The 20,770-nt window shown below is 45.8% G+C and overlaps 1 protein-coding gene across 1 annotated transcript in view, besides 1 other annotated feature; it reads right to left on the reverse strand.

The window, feature by feature from the left end:
- The window catches only part of TAMM41 (TAM41 mitochondrial translocator assembly and maintenance homolog), a 124,990-nt gene that overhangs the window by 38,579 nt on the left and 65,641 nt on the right, over window positions 1–20,770 (reverse strand). The window lies entirely within an intron of this gene.
- Window positions 13,881–14,175: an enhancer, noted in NCBI's record as "tiled region #5418; K562 Activating DNase matched - State 12:CtcfO". NCBI's record gives its function as "activates a minimal TATA promoter and a strong SV40 promoter by Sharpr-MPRA in K562 cells {active_cell/tissue: K562}" and the evidence as "EXISTENCE:reporter gene assay evidence [ECO:0000049][PMID:27701403]".

Here is a 20,770-nt window from a genome sequence, read left to right on the forward strand (position 1 = left end):
CTTTTATAAAAGAAATGGATGATGATGCTATTCCTTCTTCTATTCCTTAGAGGACTGTAAGTACAATTTTTTGTTTTGTTTTGTTTTGTTTTGTTTTGTTTTTTGAGATAGGGTCTTGCTCTGTTGCCCAGGCTGGAGTGCAGTGGTGCAATCTTGGCTCACTGCAACCTCCACCTCCCGGGCTTAAGCGAGTCTCATGCCTCAGCCTCCTGAGAAGCTGGGACTATAGGGGCCCGCCACCATGCCTGGCTAGTTTTTGTATTTTTAGTAGGGATGGGGTTTCACCATGTTGGCCAGGCTGGTCTCAAACTCCTGGCCTCAAGTGATCCACCCGCTTTGGCCTCCCAAAGTGCTGGGATTACAGGTGTGAACCACCACGCTCGACCAAGTCATCTTAAAATCATTTTCAGGCCCAGGCGTGGTGGCTCACATCTGTAATCCCAGCACTTTGGGAGGCCGAGGTGGGCAGATCATGAGGTCAGGAGATCGAGACCATCCTGGCTAACACGGTGAAACCCCGTCTCTACTAAAAAGATACAAAAAATTAGCCAGGCATGGTGGCAGGCACCTGTAGTCCCAGCTACTCAGGAGGCTGAGGCAGGAGAATGGCGTGAACCTGGGAGGCAGAGCTTGCAGTGAGCCGAGATCGGGCCACTGCACTCCAGCTTGGGTGACAGCAAGACTCTGTCTCAAAAAAAAAAAAAAAATCATCTTCAGGTTGTTGTTTTATTTTCATTTTATCTGGAATGAATTCATCTCTTCTTGATTGCTGATTTTGTTTGGTTCTGTATCTTATTATCATTGATTTTCCTAATAGACTTTGGGATCTTGGTTTGCTCAGTCTTCTTGAGGGCACTTTTCCCCTCTTGATCACCCCAGTTTCTCTGCTGCGCTCCATCTTTCCTGTCTAGCAGTTTCTAGTTGCCTCTATCCAGCCCCTGTGGCTCCTAGTCCAGAATTGAGTCTCTGTTGGTGCCTGGGCTCTCCACTCATAGAGGAGAAATGCAGTTCCAGGCCCCAGGTCACTGCAAAGACTGGCCCAAGTCTTGGTTTCTCTGTCTCCTGAGAAACATAAGTTTATAAGCCATAGTTCCAAATAGCTGCCGACTGCAGATTTCTTAGCTTCCTTTCACAGATGCAAGGTATCTGTGCACGTGCATGTGCGTATTTGAATAAAGAGATCCTTCCCCTTCCGGGCGCGGTGGCTCACACCTGTAATCCCAGCACTTTGGGAGGCCGAGGCGGGTGGATCACCCGAGGTCAGGAGTTCAAGACCAGCCTGACCAACGTGGTGAAATCCTGTCTCTACTAAAAATACAAAAATTAGCCGTGCGTGGTGGCGAGCACCTGTAATCCCAGCTGCTTGGGAGGCTGAGGCAGGGGAATCACTTGAACCCAGAAGGTGGAGGTTGCAGTGAGCCAAGATCACGCCATCGCACTCCAGCCTGGGCAACAGAGCAAGACTCTGTCTCAAAAAAAAAAAAAAAAAAAAGAAAGAAAGAAAAGAAAAAAAGAAAAAAGAGACCCTTCCCCAGGCCCCAATTTGAAGCAGGAGGTCTGAGTTGTTCTTGCACTTTGCTTGGTGCCCTTGCCATGCCTGTCACTGAGTAAAAACCCAATTCCTGCTTCTCCACCCAGAGCCCTGCAGGCCCATTCGTCACTCATGTATCTTTGTTACTACTCCGCAGAAATATGTATTACATGTTTCAGTATAGTGGGTTTTTTTCTGTCTCTTTTTATCATTTATCTGTCATTTCATATATTTGGAAAAGGGAAACCCTCAAAGCACAATCTTAAGAAATTATCTTGACCTGAGCTCCCACACTGCCTGCACAGACCTTTGCTAGTGCACTTATTACATGGAATTATAACTGTCTACGTTGCTGACACCACCAGTTCCCCAAAGCCATGGGTCAAGTGGCAGAGCCAGGATTTGAACCTCAGTCTACTGACACCAAGTCCTCTTACCTAGTATGCCGATGGATGAATACAACCATTTACATCTTCCCATCCTGAGTGCCTTGCACAAGCTCTGGCATAAAATATGTGCTCCGTTATTATTTGTTGAGTAACTTAAACTTAGACTCCCACTACTGTCTTCTAGATTTATCATAATTCTCTTGTCCTTTTATTCCCCCTAAATCTAGCACAGTATCCCTCTATTTAGACATGCAAGGTAAGTGAACTCCTGACTCTCTCCCTATCCTGGCCTTCCTGTGCCCATAACAAACATCATGGCCAAAGAACTCTCTCTCTCATGGGTCTGACCCTTTCTGTACAACCTTTTAAGAAATTGATTGTGAGGCTGGGTACGTTGGCTCACTCCTGTAATCCCAGCACTTTGGGAGGCCAAGGCAGGTGGATCACCTGAGGTCAGGAGTTTGAGACCAGCCTGGCCAACATGGTGAAAACCCGTCTCTTCTAAAAATACAAAAAATTATCTGGGCAGTGGCGGATGCCTGGGGATGCAGGGGAATCACTTGAACCCAGAAGGCGGAGGTTGCAGTAAGCCAAGATGGCACCACTGCACTCTAGCCGGGGCAACAAGAGTGAAACTCTGTCTCAAAAAAAATAAATAAATAAAAGAAATTGATTTTGATAATCATTTGCCCTCCCAGTGTAGACACAGATTTCTCTTTTGCCAATTGGAAATCCTAAAGCCATCCTCCACCTTTTTGTTTTTTGAGACAGGGTCTACCTGTCACCCATGCTGCAGTGCAGTGGCCTGATCATGGCTCACTGCAGCCTTGACCCCTTGGGCTCAAGTGATCCTCTTGCCTCAGCCTACTGTGTGGCTGGTACTACAGGCATGTGCCACCATGCCCAGTTGATTTTTAAAAATTTATTTGTAGAGATGAGGTCTTACTATTTTGCCCAGGCTGGTCTTGAACTTGTGGGCTCAAGTGATCCTCCCACCTTGGCCTCCCAAAGTGCTGGGATTACAGGTGTGAGCCACCACACCCAGTCCCTTAAAGCTTTTGAAAGAAAAAAGATGGGAAAATTGATAAATTAAGCTCATGCAGTGGTCTGAAGGAGTGATCTGGAATTTTACTTCTCTCTTTAATTTTGGCCTAAAATGTGAAAAACAAACACATCTCGACATGATGCAATTCTGTGATCCTGGGTTATCTATAAGCAGCCTCCAACTAAGAAAATCACAGTAATTTCCCATAATATTACTTTATATTTCAATAACACTCATCTCAATTTCATACCAAACCAATTACGTGGGTGTTATCGTTCATGTTTTAACACATGATGAAACTGAAGCAGAGAGGTTAAGTGTCCTGGCGAAAGTCACACAATGGATAAAGGGCGGAGCCTGTACCCAAACCCAGATCTTTCTTTCCATTTCTAAGCCTTCTGTTGCCTAATACATCACTGCTATACACTAATTTTCAAGTGCCAGAAACATGAAGGTGACCTTCAGAGTCATTTTTGTTTCAATATTATCTTTGAATAATATATAAAGCATTCGCAGGTCACTGACTTTTATTTATTACGTGTCTCTCTGTCTTTTTGTTTTGTTACTTTTTTGGTTGTTGTTGAGACAGTGTCTAACTCTGTCGCCCAGGTTGGGGTGAAGTGGCGTGATCTCAGCTCACTGAAGGCTCTACCTCCCAGGCTCAAGCGATCCTCCCACCTCAGCCTCCCGAGTAGCTTGGACTACAGGTGCACGCCACCATGCCCGGCTAATTTTTTGTAGAGACAGGGTCTCACTATGTTGCCTAGGCTGGTTTTGAAGTCCTGGGCTCAAGTGATCCTCCTGCTTCAGCCTCCCAAAGTGCTGGGATTACAGGTGTGAGCCATGGCGCCCAGACCTGTTCTATTCAATTTTATAGGTGCAATGCTGTGTGTGCCTGGGGTCAGGGACTGCTTTGCGTTCCCAGTGGCTTGTGAAGTGCCAGACCCTGACACATGTTTGCAGAGCTCCCAGACCTTTATCCCGAAGGCCACACAACCTGAAGGCCCAGGGTAACCAGCAAGGTCCCAATGTCCCATAATCTTATTCTTTTTTTTTTTTTTTTTTTTTTTTGAGACAGAGTCTTGCTCTGTCTCCCAGGCTGGAGTTCAGTGGCGCGATCTCGGCTCACTGCAAGCTCCGCCTCCCACGTTCACGCCATTCTCCTGCCTCAGCCTCCTGAGCAGCTGGGACTACAGGTGCCCGCCACCACGCCTGGCTAATTTTTTGTATTTTTAGTAGAGACGGGGTTTCACCGTGTTAGCCAGGATGGTCTCGATCTCCTGACCTTGTGATCCGCCTGCCTCGGTCTCCCAAAGTGCTGGGATCACAGGCTTGAGCCACTGCACCCGGCCCATCTTACTCTTTTTCAATAAAGACAGCTAGGTAAATGTATAACCAAATTTGATGTAAGTTATATACAAACCTTTTCATATATAAAATACCACAAGTCACACATATTTTTACAATTGTTTTTGAAACTCAGTTTTCCTGCTTTAGCCAGAAAAATAGTCATTGTCAGATCATGATTTGTATAAAATGCTTTGTGACTCAGTCAACCACCAGCTGACCTCACGATACAAACCTTAGTTGGCCTCACCTTTCCTGTGGTTTTCCCACACTGTTTTTATAGCTTTCATTTAAAATAACATTCAGTTGAGCCTCCAATGAAACCAAGCCTTTGTTCTCTTCCTCCTGTTTTTCCTCCAAAAGAACTGACAATATAAGCCTTTTCTCTGGCTCTGGTTAAGTACAAACCCATGATCAAGTGGACCCAGGGACTTGCTGGGTTCCAGGCTCTTACTACCACCACCCTGACAGTCAACCACAAATACCCGTCACCGCCATCCTCGGTATTTCATCATCACAATCGCCACCACTAGCTGAGCTCTTACTATGAGGCAGGTACTTACTAAGCTTTCACATGAATCAGGAATTCATGTAATTTTAATTGCCACAACAACACTATGGAGTAAATACTACGATGTTCTTTTAATATATAATGAAATTGAGACTCAAATAAGTTAAGAAAACTTCTCCAAAGCCACAGAGCTACAAGCGTAAAGACAGGATTCAACACCAGGTCATTTCCAGTTTCAAATCCTCAGGATACCCCATATTAAATATGCAGTCTGTACATATAACACACACATACAGACATATGAGAATTGAGTTGCAGCTATTTGATATAAGACCATATTTTAGAGACATTTAAACATTTGTTAATGATGTTATTATGATTATCTTTTCACCTTCTGGAGTCAAAATTTTTTTTTTTTTTTTGAGATGGAGTCTCATTCTGTCGCCCAGGCTGGAGTGCAGTGGTGTGATCTCAGCTCACTGCAAGCTCTGCCTCCCAGGTTCAAGTGAGTCTCCTGCTTCAGTCTCCCGAGTAGCTGGGATTACAGATGTGTACCACCACACCCGGCTAATTTTTCTATTTTTAGTAGAGACTGGGTTTCGCCATGTTAGCCAGGCTGGTCTCGAACCCCTGGCCTCATGTGATCCACCCACCTCAGCCTTTAAAGTGCTGGGATTACAGGCGTGAGCAACCACACCCAGCCTGGAGTCAATAAAGATTTTTGCTCCATCCAAAACTTTGGTCAGCTCTTGAGAGACTCATAGAGTCCACAGGGTAGGCCTAGGATTCCTGACAAATAAAACAATGCCATCAAATAGCAACATCATTTAAAGAATACAGACATGCTACTGCTGGGAAATTCTTTTTTTGTTGTTGGTTTTTTTTGAGACAGGGTCTAACTATGTTACACAGGCTGGAGTGCGGAGTGAGGACCACGGCTCACTACAGCCTCAACCTCCCAGGCTCAGGTGATCCTCCCACCTCAGACTCCCAGGTAGCTGGGGCTACAGGCATGCACCACCATGCTCGGTGAATTTTCTGTATTTTTTTGTAGAGACGGGGGTCTTGCTATGTTGCCCAGGCTGGTCTTGAACTTCTGGACTCAATCAATCAGCCCATCTTGGCCTCCCAAAGTGCTGGGAATACAGGTGTGAGCCACCGTGCCTAGCTGGGAAATTCTTATTTTGGAAGGAGAAGTACAGAAAAGAGGTAGAGTATGTTTTTATTTTTATTTATTTATTTTATTTTATTATTTTCTTCAGGCCAGATGTTTTTATTTTTATTTTTTGAGACAGAGTTTCACTCTGTCACTCAGGCTGGAGTGTTGTGGGTACAAATGGCTCACTGCAGCCTTGACTTCCTGGGCTCAAGCAATTCTCCTGCCTCAGCCTCCCTTGTAGCTGGGACCAGGTGTGTGCACTACTACATCTGGCAAATTTTTTTTACTTTTTTGTAGAGATGAGGGTCTCACTTTGTTGCCCAGGCTGGTCTCAAACTCCTGGCCTGAGGGGACCTTTCTGCCTCGACCTCCTAAAGTGTGGGATTACAGGTGTGAGCCACTGCATCCGACCTAGAGTATGTTTTTAAATTAAGTTTTTTATTTTGAGATCGCTGTAGATTCACATGCAGTTGTAATAAATGATAGAGAGTGATCCCATGTAACCTTTACCCAGTTCCCCCCACTGGTAACATTTTGCAATGCTGTAATATTAATACAATTTCCCAACCAGGATATTGATAGATTCACTGATTTTAGCTCTTATTTGATGTAGAGTATCTTTTTTTCTTTGGGACAGAGTCTCACTATGTCACCCAGGCTGGAGTGCAGTGGCATGATCTCAGCTCACTGCAACCTCCGCCCTCTGGGTTCAAGCAATTCTCGTGCCTCAGCCTCCCGAGTAGCTGGCACTACAGGCGCGTGCCACCATGCCTGGCTAAATTTTGTGTTTTTAGTAGAGACGGGGTTTCACCATATTGGCCAGGCTGGTCTCGAACTCCTGACTTCAAGTGATCTGCCCGCCTCAGCCTCCCAAAGTGCTGGGATTACAGGCGTGAGTCACCAGGTCCAGCCAGGGTACTTATCTTGTTTCTACTATCTTGCTATTATGAATGATGTTGTGATGTTGCTATGGATATTGCTGCATGAGTTTTTGTGTGGATGCATGTTTTCATTTCTCTTGGATATATACCTAGAGGCAGAATTCTTGGGTCATATGATGACTACACGGAACTATCAAACTGTTTTCTGTAGTAGCTTTACTATGTTACATTCCCACCAGCAATGTACGAGGGTTCCACTTACTCCCCATCCTTGTCAACACGTTGTGCATTTTTTTTTTTTTTTTTGAGACAGAGTCTTGCTCTTTTGCCCAGGCTGGAGTGCAGTGGTGCAATCTAAGCTCACTGCAACCTCCGCCTCCCGGGTTCAAGCAATTCTCCTGCCTCAGCCACCTCAGTGCCTGGGATTACAGGCATGTGCCACCACACCTGGCTAATTTTTGAATTTTAGTAGAGATGGGGTTTCACCATGTTGCTCAGGCTGGCCTCGAACTCCTGACCTCGTGATCCGCCCGCCTCGGCCTCCCAAAGTGCTGGGATTACAGACGTGAGCCACCGCGCCTGGCCATCTGTCCTTTTGATTATAGATTTTGATTATAGATCAAAATGGGTGCAAATCAAAGCCACAGTAAGACACCACTTCACACCTGTGGGGGTGAATAGGTGTGAAGTGGCATCTTACTGTGGCTTTTATTTGCACTGCCCTGATGGCTAATGATATTGAACATCTTTTTATGTGCTTATTGGCCATTTGCATATCTTCTTTGGATGTAGGTGGAAAACTTTTTTGTTTTTTTTTTGAGATGGGGTTTCATTCTGTAGCCTGGCTGGAGTGTAGTGGCGTGACCTCAGGTCACTGCAACCTCTGCCTCCAGGGCTCAAGCAATCCTCTCACCTCTGTCTCCTGAGTAGCTGGGACTACATGCATGTGCCAGCATACTAGGCTAATTTTAAAAATTATTTGTAGAGATGGGGTCTCCCTATATTGCCCAGGCTGGTCTCAAACTCCTGGGTTCAAGTAATCCTCCTGCCTTAGCCTCCCAAAGTGTTTGGATTACAGGCGTGAGCCACTGCACCCAGCCAAATCCTTTTTAAAGTCGTGAATGTACTTGATGACAAAGTGAATGTGACAAGGTATTTCCCACAATTTTATGTTAGAATAGAAGAAAAACATATGTTTTATGCAATTACATACTCACTCATTCATTTTCCAAGTACCTATGCTATTCCAGACACCAGGAAATTTAGAGAAGAAGGAGAAACCAGTTAGTTGATTATCAGAAATGGCATAGACAAGATGTTATAGTCCTCCTGGCACTTTTGTAACAGTCTGCTTCTGACTTATCCAAATGGTTCAGCTCCATTCCTGGCAGGGCAGAAAAGGCAATGAGACAAGGTTCCTGATTTCCAGTAGCTCACTATCTAGTGGGAGAGAGAAACACATAAATATGTCATTGCGGTCGCAGATGGTTATCTACCCACAGAGCTTAGGAGCACAGTGGAGGGAGCAGGTAATTCTGCTAGGCACCTAGAAGGGGTGCAGGAGGAGGTGACATTTGAATTTGGTCTTAAGAGATATTCAGACATTTGACAGATGGTGAAAGGAGAAGGACATTCTAGCCATCAGGCACGGCCTGGTCAAGGGCATGGCTGAGGATGTGAGAGCCGAGGGTGAGCAGAGACAGAGGGTGGAGGGGAGGAGTGGAAGGGAGTGGACCACGTCATGAAGAGCCTCACTAAGGAGCATCCATCTACAAACAGTCTCACTCTGCGCCCAGGCTGGAGTGCTGTGGTGTGATCTTGGCTCACTGCAACCTCTAACCTGACGGGTTCAAGCGATTCTCCTGCGTCAGCCTCCTGAGTAGCTGGGATTACAGGTGTGTGCCACCACGCACAGCTAATTTTTGTATTTTTAGTAAAGATGGGGTTTCACCATGTTGGCCAGACTTGTCTTGAACTCCTAACCTCAAATAATCCATCTGCCTTGGCCTCCCAAGAGATTTTTTTTTTTTTTTTTTTTGTAAGCAGAAGAGTGGTGTGGTTCGATCTGAGGTTTAAGAGATCACTCACAGGCAGCCAGTTGGATGGATTAAGGGGTCAGCAGGCCAAAGGGTAAATATTTGTGGCCTTGTGGACCACACAGTCTTTGTTACAACTTCTCAACTCTGCTGCTGTAGTGTGAAAGCAGCCATAAGACAATACATTTAAGTATTTCATTTAAGAAAGAACCCGGCTGTGTTCTAATGCACATGTATTTACAAAGCCAGGAGGTATGGATCTGTCCTGAGGACCATCATTTACCAACTCCTATATTAGACTAAGGTGGGAATGAAGGCAAGGAGACCACTGACTATGTGGAAATTCTCTCATGAATGGAGAAAATCAGAATGGGGTGAGGGAAGTGCAACCAAGGCAGAGGGTATCTTTCAGCCTCAAGAGGAGTCAGGTCCTCTACCTCGGCTGTGCTGGAAAGTGTGACTACACGCCTCACGGCCCAGCTCGCATTTCCTACAAAGCAGGCAGAACACCTAGTTATGCAAAGAGCATCACTCACAGCCACTGCAGCCACCTGGGAGGTGTGGAGCTTCTATCTGTGACAAGCCTGCCAAGGAACTCACAGGCCCAGGCAAGGAGAAGCCTAGAAAACAAGGTAGAAAGTCTTGGAAAAGCCTCATTTGGTCTGCGATGTAAGAAAACTTGATTCCAGTTAATTGAGGTAAAGAAGAATTGGTTCAATCTCATAGAATCCACAGGGGAGATGTGTGATTGGTCCCGCACTCTAAGAGCTGGAGAGCGAGAAGCAGGTGCCTCTTCTGGCCTCTGTGGGGCTGCACAGACTCTGTCTCCGTCTCTTCTGCAAAATTGGCATCCATGTGTGGACTGCTCATCAGTCAGTGTGGGGTGGAGACACAGAGAAAGTTCAGGAGTACATAAGTGGCCCCATAAAAACATGCACCCTACCACTACCCTGGAGGGCAGCTGACCGGGGGTGTCTGGTCCAGCCTCTCTAACAACTCCTGCACCTCTCTGTCCAAGCCCCTTCCCCTTGCTGGGCAAAATAAAGGGGGCAGTTTCGATCACTGGCTCTCAACTGGGATTTCTCCCAAAGTAGTAATGAGGTCGACTTGCAAGCATTTTTGGCTTTCAAAAAGCCATTTAAAATGCTCTGCTTGCTGATGAAAGCTGTGGTTTCTTTGCTCTCGGCTACGATTCTGTCAACTCAGGGTAGTAACACTGCTGAGCGCGTGCTGATCTGAAGCTCTGATTGGCTGCTGGTGACATAATAGGAAGGTCAGGAACGATTGGCTGGCAGCTGAGACCGGCTGAGCCACATACCAGGAAGGTGTGTTGGGCGTGAACAGAGCACGCTTAGAGCAGGAACAGAAGTACGAGCGACAGCCTACCAACATCCTTCAAGCATGGGGGCAGGGGAGGCATGTGTTAAATAACAGAGTCTTCAAGATAGTGAAAACTATGCATCATTTCTAGGGTCCTCTTTTGTGTAGCTCCTGTCTCCCCCTAGTCCCAGGTGTCTCTCCCCAGAGGGCTGGAGGGCCAGGCCAGGCTCGCAGACAAGTGGGTACATGTACCCCCTTCACTCCCAGTTCCCTCCTCTCTGCCCAGACCTGCTCTCCGCAGCCCTGAGGCGGGCAGCTGGTCCACCCTTCTCCCCTGCAGTTCTCTCTAGGCTTAGGACCCAGGTCCCTCCCTGCTCTAGGTGGTCTGGATGTCAGCATCTCAAGCTGCGGCCTCAGGCAGCAACAGGCACGCCCTTTATGAATTATCTGAGCAGAGCACAGCCACAGTGGGAGGAATAAAAATAACAAGAAACACAAAAGGTGCCTCCTTGAACAGGAAGAGACACTAGGGATGGGGGACTGGCTCACCTGGTGAGTCACCCTGCGTTCCCTCTTCTTGGCTGGCTATCAAAAGAGAAGAGAACACAGGCAATAACCTGTGGCCTCCAGGGACGGGCTGGGCGTTTTAGAAAGGCCCTGGGTTTGCAGAAGAGAACAGCACGCATGGTGGGGAGGCTGCTGGAGGTTGGGATTCTACGTCTGGCTCATGGCAAACCTGATGGATGACTTTGGGCTCTTTTCAGAGTCTCTGTTGCCTCATTTGTTTGTTTGTTTTTGAGACGGATTATTTATTTATTTGAGTCGGAGTTTTGCTTTTTGTCGCCCAGGCTGGAGTACAGTGGCCAGATTTGTTTGTTTGTTTTTGAGATGGATTATTTATTTTTGAGACAGAGTTTAGCTCTTTGTTGCCCAGGCTGGAGTGCAGTGGTGTGATCTCTGCTCACTGCAACCTCCGCCTCCCAGGTTCAAGCGATTCTCCTGTCTCAGCCTCCCAAGTAGCTGGGATTACAGGCGCCCGCCACCACGCCCGGCTAATTTTTGTATTTTTAGTAGAGATGGGGTTTCACCATGTTTGCCAGGCTGGTATCAAACTCCTGACCTCAGGTGATCGACCCACCTCGGCCTCCCAAAGTGTTGGGATTACAGGCGTGAGCCACCACGCCCGGCCTGTTTATTTATTTTTAATTTTAAAAAGTTTATATATTTAAGGGGTACAGGTTCATTTTTCTTACATGTGTATATTGTGTAGTGGTGTACCCATCATCACCCAAATAGTGAACACTTTACCCAACAGGTGATTTTCCAACCCTCACCCCCTCCCACTTTTTATAGTCTCCAGTGTCTGTTTTTCTTTTTCTTTTTTTCTTTTTTTTTGAGACAGAATCGCTCTCTGTTGCCTAGGCTGGAGTGCAGTTGTGCAATCTCAGCTCACTGTAAACTCCACCTCCCAGGTTCATGCCATTCTCCTGCCTCAGCCTCCGGACTAGCTGGGACTACAGGCGCCTGCCACCACAGCTGGCTAATTTTTTTTTTTTTTTTTGTAGTTTTAGTAGAGACGGGCTTTCACCGTGTTAGCCAGGATGGTCTTCATCTCCTGACCTCGTGATCCGCCCTCCTTGGCCTCCCAAAGTGCTGGGATGGCAGGCGTGAGCCACCGTGCCCAGCCCAGTGTCTGTTTTTCTACTCTGTGTGTTCATATGTACCTATTGTTTAGCTGTCACAAGTGACAACAAGCGGTATCTAGCTGTTTCGGAGTTATTTCACTTAGGATAATGGCCTCCAGTTCCATGTTGCTGCAAAAGACGTGATTTCATTCTTTTTTTTAATGGCTGAGTATATCCATGGTGTGTGTATGTATCACATTTTCTTTATCTGATCCTTGGTTGATGGACAGTATATCTGTGCGATTGTGAACAGTGCTGTCATAAACACATGAGTGCATGCATCTTTTCCCTTTGGGTAGATACCCAGTAAAGGGATTGGAGTCTAATGGTAGTTCTATTTTTAGTTCTTTGAGAAATCCCCATAATGTTTTTCATAGAGTTGTCCTCCTTTATTAAGCCTCCTATTCAGGGTGAGGCACTGTGCCAGGGGCTCTACATACATTGATGCTAATCTTGAGAATCATCCTGCCAAGTAGGGTCTTTATCGTCTCCATCTTAAAGAACAGGAGGCAGTTCCGAGAGATTAAGTAACTTGCCTGCTGTCACACGGTATACTCTTGATTCAAACTCAGGTCTTTCTTTCTCTCTCTTTTTTTGGAATGGAGTCTAGCTCTGTTGCCCAGGTTGGAGTGCAGTGGTGCGATCACAGCTCACTGCAACCTTCGCCTCCCGGGTTCAAGCAATTCTCCTGCCTCATCCTCCCGAGTAGCTGGGATTACAGGCACACACCACCATGTCCAGCTAATTTTTATATTTTTAGTAGAGTTGGGGTTTCACCATATGGGACAGGCTGGTCTCAAACTCCTAACCTCAAGTGATTCACCTGCCTCAGCTTCCCAAAGTGCTGGGATTACAGGTGTGAGCCACCATCCCTGGCCAAACCCAGGTCTTTTTGATTCCAAAGCCCCCAAGTATTGCTTATTTTATTTTTGATTTGCTTAAAAAAAAAAAAGCTAGTTAATGACTAGCACTTTGTGAACTATTTTTCTCCCAACATTTTTAATTTTTTATAAAATTTAAAAAATAGAGGTGGGGTCTCGCTATTTTGGCCAGGTTGGTCTTGAACTCCTGGCCTCAAACAGTCCTCTTGCCTTGGCTTCCAAAAGTGCTAGGATTACAGGCGTGAGCCACCGTGCCCAGCCCCACCCCGACATTTTCTTTTTTGACTACCATCAAGTACTAGCAGAACATCCAGACCTGTTGGCAAACAAGCAGTAATGGAGACACTTGGAAACTTGACCCTGAGTAGCTCAACAGCTTGTTTTCTCCATGAGCCAGTAGGCTTCTAGCTGTGATTTCATTAATTTATAACAGTATGCACATTTAATTAAGCAGAATGTTTCTTGCCCAACCTAGATGCTAAATCCATCAATGTGTTATGAGCTAAATTGTGGTTCATACAATGAGAAATAGAAAAGTCAGTGTTGGGGGCCGGGTGCGGTGGCTCAGCCTGTAATCCCAGCACTTTGGGAAGCTGAGGTGGGTGGATCACCTGAGGTCAGGAGTTCAAGACCAGCCTGGCCAACATGGCGAAACCTCGTCTCTACTAAAAATACAAAAATTAGCAGGGCATGGTGGTGCATGCCTGTAATCCCAGTTACTTGGGAGGCTGAGGCAGGAGAATCACTTGAACCAGGAAGGAGAGGTTGCAGTGAGCCAAGATCATGCCACTGTACTCCAGCCTGGGAGACAGAGCAAGACTCCATCTCAAAAAAACCAAAACAAAACAAACAAAAAAGAAAAGTCAGTGTTTCATCATCTTATGCAAAGGAAGCTATAATTTCCAGGTGTTCTGCCACCTACAACAGGTTTGAGCACTCTTGTTCTCCGACTCTATGAACGCACACTTTGTGCACAGGAAAACTTCCTGGATAAAACAGAGCCAGGCAGAGCTCTCTCACCACTGTAGAATGAAAGTTGCTTTCTTTGCTTCCTTGGGAATCAGAAAGGTGCTCTGCCCCTTTCTATGTGCACCTGGAAAGTTCTCCATCAAACCAAGCTGACAGGGAGGCTCTCCAGCCTGCCAATAAGAGCAGTGACTGAGTGCCAGAGGGACTGTTACCTAGATGGCCAGGCTAGCCCAAGATGGACAGAAGAGGGAGCACTTTCCGTAAAACAGCCACATGTCACAGGCCCCAGCTGCCGCCTGCAATCCTCTGGCTCCCAAGACTGCCCAGGGCCCTACTGCTCTCCCTGGGAGGTTTGTCTTGGTCTATTTGGGTTGCTATAACAAAATGCCATAGACTGGGTGGCTTATAAACAACAGAAATGTATTTCTCAGTCTGCAGGCTGGGAAGTCTGAGATCAAGGCACTGGCAGATTCAGTGTCTAGTGAGGGCTTTCTGGTTCATAGATGGCCACTTCTCATTGCAACTTCACATAGAAGAAGGAAGAAAGGATCTCCCTGGGTCTTGCTGATAGTGTCCTAATCTGCCCTCATGACCTAATAAATTCCCAAATCCTCATCTCCTAATACCATCACATTGAAAGCATTTTTTTTTTTTTTTTGAGACGGAGTCTCGCTTTGTTACCCAGGCTGGAGTGCAGTGGTGCGATCTCGGCTTACCGCAATCTCCGCCCCCCAGGTTCAAGTGATTCTCCTGCCCTCAGCCTCCTGAGTAGCTGGGATTACAGGCGGCTGCCACCGTGCCCGGCTAATTTTTGTATTTTTAGTAGAGATGGCGTTTCACCATCTTGGCCAGGCTGGTTTGAACTCCTGACCTCGTGATCCACCCCCTCAGCCTCCCAAAGTGCTGGGATTACAGGCATGAGCCACCGCGCCTGGCCTTTTTTAATATTAAGATGCATTATTTTTGTACAGGCATTTTTTTTGGTTGGGGGACACACAAATTCAGACCATAGCAAGGTTCCAGCCATAAGCCAGAATACTTTCCTTATAACTATCACTGAAGGACCACTGGTCAGCCCCCACGTTTGCCAGGCTTTGGGGCCCTAGTCCCCCTCTTCCTGTCACATTCCCCGCCACCACCCTGGTGATTTCCGAAACCCATGTGAACAACTTACCCCTCGACTGTCTTTCAGGACAGTGTTACAATTTCACCAAGGTGGCCAGGACCTAGCCATTCTGCAGTCACATCTCCAACACTTGTGTGCAAATGGTTATAGATTTAGAGAGATGTGTGTGCTGAGTTTAAATAAAGTCACGCCACTGCACTGGTGGAAGTAACTTAACTCAGATTCAGATACAATCATTATTTACTGAGCTCCTAATGTGAGCTGGGTGTGACCATCTCTGTCGTCCCATTTGATCCTAAAGATAACCGTTTGCGCAGCATTATTCACAATAGCCAAGATATGGAAACAACCTAAGCGTCTGTTGACAGATGAACAGATCAAGAAAACGTGGGGTGTGTTTATGTATATATACAGCCATGCACTGCATGCCTGCCGATGTTTCAGTGATGGACCACAGACACAACAGTGGTCCCATAAGATTATAATACCGTATTCTTACTGAACTGTTTCTTTTTTAAGAGAAGTGTGTGTGTGTGAGATCAGAATTTCAGTGTCCCCATGAACTCAGTACATTCTACACTTGTCTTCCAGCTGTTTGCAAATGTTTTTCTTTTGGTTGGTAATTTTTTTAGAAATAGATCTTTTATTTTTTAATTAATTAATTTTTTTTTTTTTTTGAGATGGAGTCTCGCTCTGTTGCCCAGGCTAGAGTGCAGTGGCCTGATCTTGGCTCACTGCAAGCTCCGCCTCCCAGGTTCATGCCATTCTCCTGCCTCAGCCTCCCGAGTAGCTGGGACTACAGGCGCCCGCCACCACGCCCGGCTAATTTTTTGTATTTTTTTTTTAGTAGAGATGGGGTTTCACCGTGTTAGCCAGGATGGTCTTGATCTCCTGACCTCATGATCCGCCCACCTCGGCCTCCCAAAGTGTTGGGATTATAGGTGTGAGCCACCGCGCCCGGCCATTTAAAATTTTTTTTTTAGAGACAGGGTCTCACTATGTTGCTCAGGCTGGCTTTGAATTCATGAACTGAAGCAATCCTTCTGCTTCGGCCTCCAAAGTAGGTGGGACTACAGATGTGGACCACTGTGCCTGACTTACTGTACCTTTGCTATGTGTGGACATGTCTAGACACACAGTGCTCACCACTGTGTTAACAACTGCCTCGGTATTCAGCACAGTAACCTGCTGTACAGGTTTGTGGCCTCGGAGCAGTAGGCCATCCCATGTAGCCTAGGTGTGCAGTGGTAGGTTAAGCCATCTAGGTTTCTGTAAGTGCACTCTATGACGCTCACGAGAAGAAAATTGCCTGACAACGCATTTCTCAGAGGGTATCCCTGTCATTAAGTGACACGTGACTGCAGAGACAGACCATCCAGGACTTAACGCTCTTTCGACTTTACGATGAATTGATGGGGACGCAGCCCCATTGTAAGTCAAGGAGCCTGCAAACATTATTTCACCATAAAAGAGAAAGAAATCTTGCCATTTGCGACAACATGGATGAAACATTGGAGACATTATGCTTAGTAAAATAAACCAGATATGGAAAGACAAAGACTGTGTGATCTCACTTCTGTGTGGAATCTGAAAGCATCAAACTCATAAACACAGTAGAATCGTAGTTCCTAGGGGTCAGGTGGAATGGGAAGATTTTGGTGAAAGGGTACAAACATTCAGTTCTGGGGATCTAATCTACAGCATGGTGACTACATTTAAAAATAATGTATTGTCTACTTGAAATTTGCTAAGAGAGTAGCTCCTAAGTGTTCTCACCACACAGACAAAAATGGTAACTATGTGAGGATATGGGTATGCTAATTAACTTGATTGTGGTGATCTTTTCACAATGTATACATACATCAAATCATGAGATTGTATACCTTAAATACATATAATTTTTTTTGTCAACTATACTTCAATAAAGCCGGAAGAGGAAAAAAAGGTAACTATTTGAGCTTTTGCTTCTTCAATTAGAGCTAATCCAGCTAAAAAATGGTTTGGGCATTTCCAAAAAGGAGTTGAGGTACTACTAAATGACGTCAGGATTAATGTTTTAACCAACCAAGAAGCAGCATTGAAAAACTTTCTAACAGCTTCGTTGAGATATAATTTACATACCATAGAATTCAGCCATTTAAAGTGTACAGTTCAGCAGGCCGGGTGCGGTGGCTCACGCCTGTAATCCCAACACTTTGGGAGGCCTAGGCAGGTGGATCATTTGCGATCCAGAGTTCGAGACCAGCCTGGCCAACATGGTGAAACTCTGTCTCTACTAAAAATACAAAAATTAGCCGGGTGTGGCAGTGTGCACCTATAATCCCAGCTACTCGGGAGGCTGAGGCAGGAGAATCTCTTGAACCCGGGAGGCGGAGGCTGAAGTGAGCCAAGATCCTGCCACTGCACTCCAGCCTGGGTGAGGGAACGAGATTCCATCTCAAAAAAGAAAAAAAGTGTAAATTCAGCGTTTTTATTTATAGAGTTGTACCGCCATCATACAGTTTTAGAACATTCCCATTAACCTAAAAAGAAAACTTCCCAATTCTTAGCTTCACTCCTAAGCCCCCAAGCCCCCCATTACCCACTTCCGGCCCTCAGCAGCCACAAATCTACATCGTGTCTCGGTACATCTGGCTATCCTGGCATTTCATGTAAGTGACATCGTATAGTATGTGGTCTTTTGTGTGAGGCTTCTTCCATTTGGCATCATGTTTTCGAGGCTCATCCGTGTCACAGTCTGCATCAGTATTTCACTCTTTTTTATTGTCGGTTAACAGTCCACTGTCCAGTTTTTGTGTGGACATATATTTTCATTTCTCTTGGGTATATATACCTGGGAGTAGAATTTCTCGGTTATATGAGAACTCTATGTTTTTTTTTCCTTTTTAGAGACAGGGTCTCGTTCTGTCACCCAGGCTGGAGTGCAGTGGTGCGATCACAGCTCACAGCAAACCTCCAACTCCTAGGCTTGTCAAGTGATCCTCCTGCTTCAGCCTCTCAAGTAGCTGGGGCTACAGGCACACATACCAAACCCAGATAATTTTTAAATTTTTTGTAGACACAGGGTCTTGCTATGTTGCCCAGTCTCAAACTCCTGGGCTCAAGCAATGGCCCACCTCTGTGTCCCAGGAACTCTATATTTAACCACTTGAGGAACTGACAGTTTCCTCAGCAACTGCCCCACTTCACATTCCCATTAGCAGCCCATGAGGGCTCCACTGTCTTCATGTCTCTGTAAAATAACACTTGTTTTTTTGTCCTTTTTTTTTCTCCTTTAATCTCTTTTTTGGAAAAAACATCGGAAAATGACTATGTGTCTTTTTTATTTAGCCTTCCTAGTGGGTGTGAGGTGGTATCTCATTGTGATTTGATTTGCATTTCCCTGATGATGAGTGATGTTGGGCACCTTCTCGTGTTTATTGGCCATTCGTGTATCTTTTTTGGAGAAGTGTGTGTTCAGATCCTTTGCCTATTTTTAATAAGGTTGTCTTTATATCCTAGTTATAAGTGCCTTATCAGATACATGATTTACAAATATTTTTTTCCCATTCTTTAGGTTAGCCTTTCACTTTTTTGAGGGCGTCTGCTATGCTACGGTTTGGATGTCTGTCCCCTCCAAAGCTAATATTGAAATTTGATGCCCAACGTTGGAAATGGGGCCTAATAGGAGGTGTCTGGGTCATGGGGGCAGGTCCCTAATGAATAGATTAATGCCCTCCCTCAGTGGTGAGTTCTCACTCTGTTAGTTCCTGTGAGAGCAGGTTGTTCAAAAGAGCCTGGCACCCGCCTTTTCCAGCTCTCTCTCGGGCCATGTGACCTCTACACACTGGTTCCCCCTTCCCCATCTGCCATGAGTGGGGGCAGCGTGAGGCCCTCACCAGATGCAGATGCCCAATCTTGAACTTTCCAGCCATCAGAATCACGAGCCAAATAAACCTTTACTCTTTACAAATTAAAGGGAGAGCAAAGAGAGGAGGAGGAAGGTGCCAGGCTCCTTTTAATTGCCAGGTCGTGCAGGAACTATGAGTGAGAACTCACTCACTCCAGTGAGAATGGTAAAGCTTTTCATGAGAGAGCCAGCCCCATGACCAACACACCTCTTACCAGGCCCTACCTCCAACACCGAGGATCCAAGTTCAACATGAGATTTGGAGGGGACAAATGTCCGAACTATACAGTCACCATCCATCTCCTGTGACTTGACCCCTGCTCTCCGTGTTTTCCTCTGATTACCTCTCAGGTTTGTTTGTTCTCTTCATGCTGGTGTTTGTTGTTGGTGTGCCCTTGGGTCTCTTCTCTGTGCTCCACAGACTTCCTGAGAGATCCTCATTCACTCCCATGGTGTCTTTAGTCACTATCTATTAGCTGCCAATTCTCACATTTCCATTTCCAGCTCCAGACCTGGGGAGCCAACTGTTTACTCAACATCTTCCACAGACATTCCAAACGCAGCATGTTCAGACCCGAATTCATCACCATCCTCCTGCTATCCCCAAATGTGCCCCTCCTCCTGGATCCCCAGCTGAGGAAACAGGCATACCATTCTCCCATTTGTGCCAGCGGGAGCCTTGGCAAGCCCTTCTCCATAGTCAGTCATCAAGTTGTACTGAGTCCACTTCCTAGACATCACTTCAATCTGTCCCTTTTGGTCCATTCTCAGTGATCCTGCCCTGGACCACCATCATCTCTCAACTAGATGACTACAGTCTTCCCCTTTCTAGTCTATTCTCCATAGTGCAGCCACACTGATGTTTGTAAAATGCAAATCCACTTTTGACACTCTCTAGCTCAAAAATCCCTGGCTGGCTCTCCATTGCTCTGGGGATAACAATGAACAGACTAACAAGAATTTTAAGACCTTTCACGATCTGGCCTCAGTCATTTCTCCAGCCTCACTCCTGCACAGTATATGTCTGGCACTTTATTCATCTTGAACTAACTTTAGTTCCCTCAACACACTGTGTTCTCTTCATTTAGGGCTTTTGAATATCCATAGTCCTATGTCTGGAATACTCTTCCTTCTCCTCTGGCTAACCCCTACTTGTTCTTAAAGTAACAGGCTAGACATCACTTGCTGCTTCCCTCCAGATTGGGAGAACACCAAGTGACTGAAAGACAGTTTAGTCAAGAGGTTAAGAGGGAGGGCTTTGGAACCTGATGGCCCGGTTTGGGATCCAGGCTGTCCTGTTAGTTTTCTGTGCCTCTGTTTCCTCATGCATGTAATAGGGAATAATAAGAGTCCCTGTTACATAAGGCTGTGGTGAGCATTAAATGAATAAATATATAGAAAGTGCTTAGAAGAGTGCCTGGCACACTGTAATGGCTCAACCAGTTTCCTGTCACTTTGAGGTATCTCTATAGTTACCCTATAGTTACCCCTGTAATTAAGTACTTATCAGAGAAATCTAATTCACAATTTACTTTACTTTTCTGCATTGTAAGATCCTTAGAATTGGGACAACTCTCCAGGGCTCCAGCTCTTGGTATGCAGAGGGCATTTATGAAATTTTTGTTAAATACTTGACTAAATCAGTGAATGAATGAACTTCTGTTCACAGCATTGATCGCTTCTCACCTTGCATTATGAGAGTGGATTTTATCTTCTCTATTTGATTTACTGTAAGCTTACTGAGGCAGCACCACAGCACCGTCATCTTGGCATATCCCATCTCCTCCAACCAACACTGTCTGGGAACATTTTATTCCTGTAATTCAACTAATACCAGTTGAACTAAAGCCTCCTCTCTGGGAATAGGCTTTAGACTTCTCCTGCTTTTCATCTGCCACGTCCTGTCATCCTCTTCTATGTAACCCACTGCAACCTGGAATTTTAGGGACTTTCTTGTATCTGTAGCTCAGTTGTCACAGTAGGACAGTTATACAAGGAGTT

The sequence above is a fragment of the Homo sapiens genome, chromosome 3 (genome assembly GCF_000001405.40).
Source record: "Homo sapiens chromosome 3, GRCh38.p14 Primary Assembly".
In the NCBI taxonomy this organism is placed as follows: domain Eukaryota; kingdom Metazoa; phylum Chordata; class Mammalia; order Primates; family Hominidae; genus Homo; species Homo sapiens.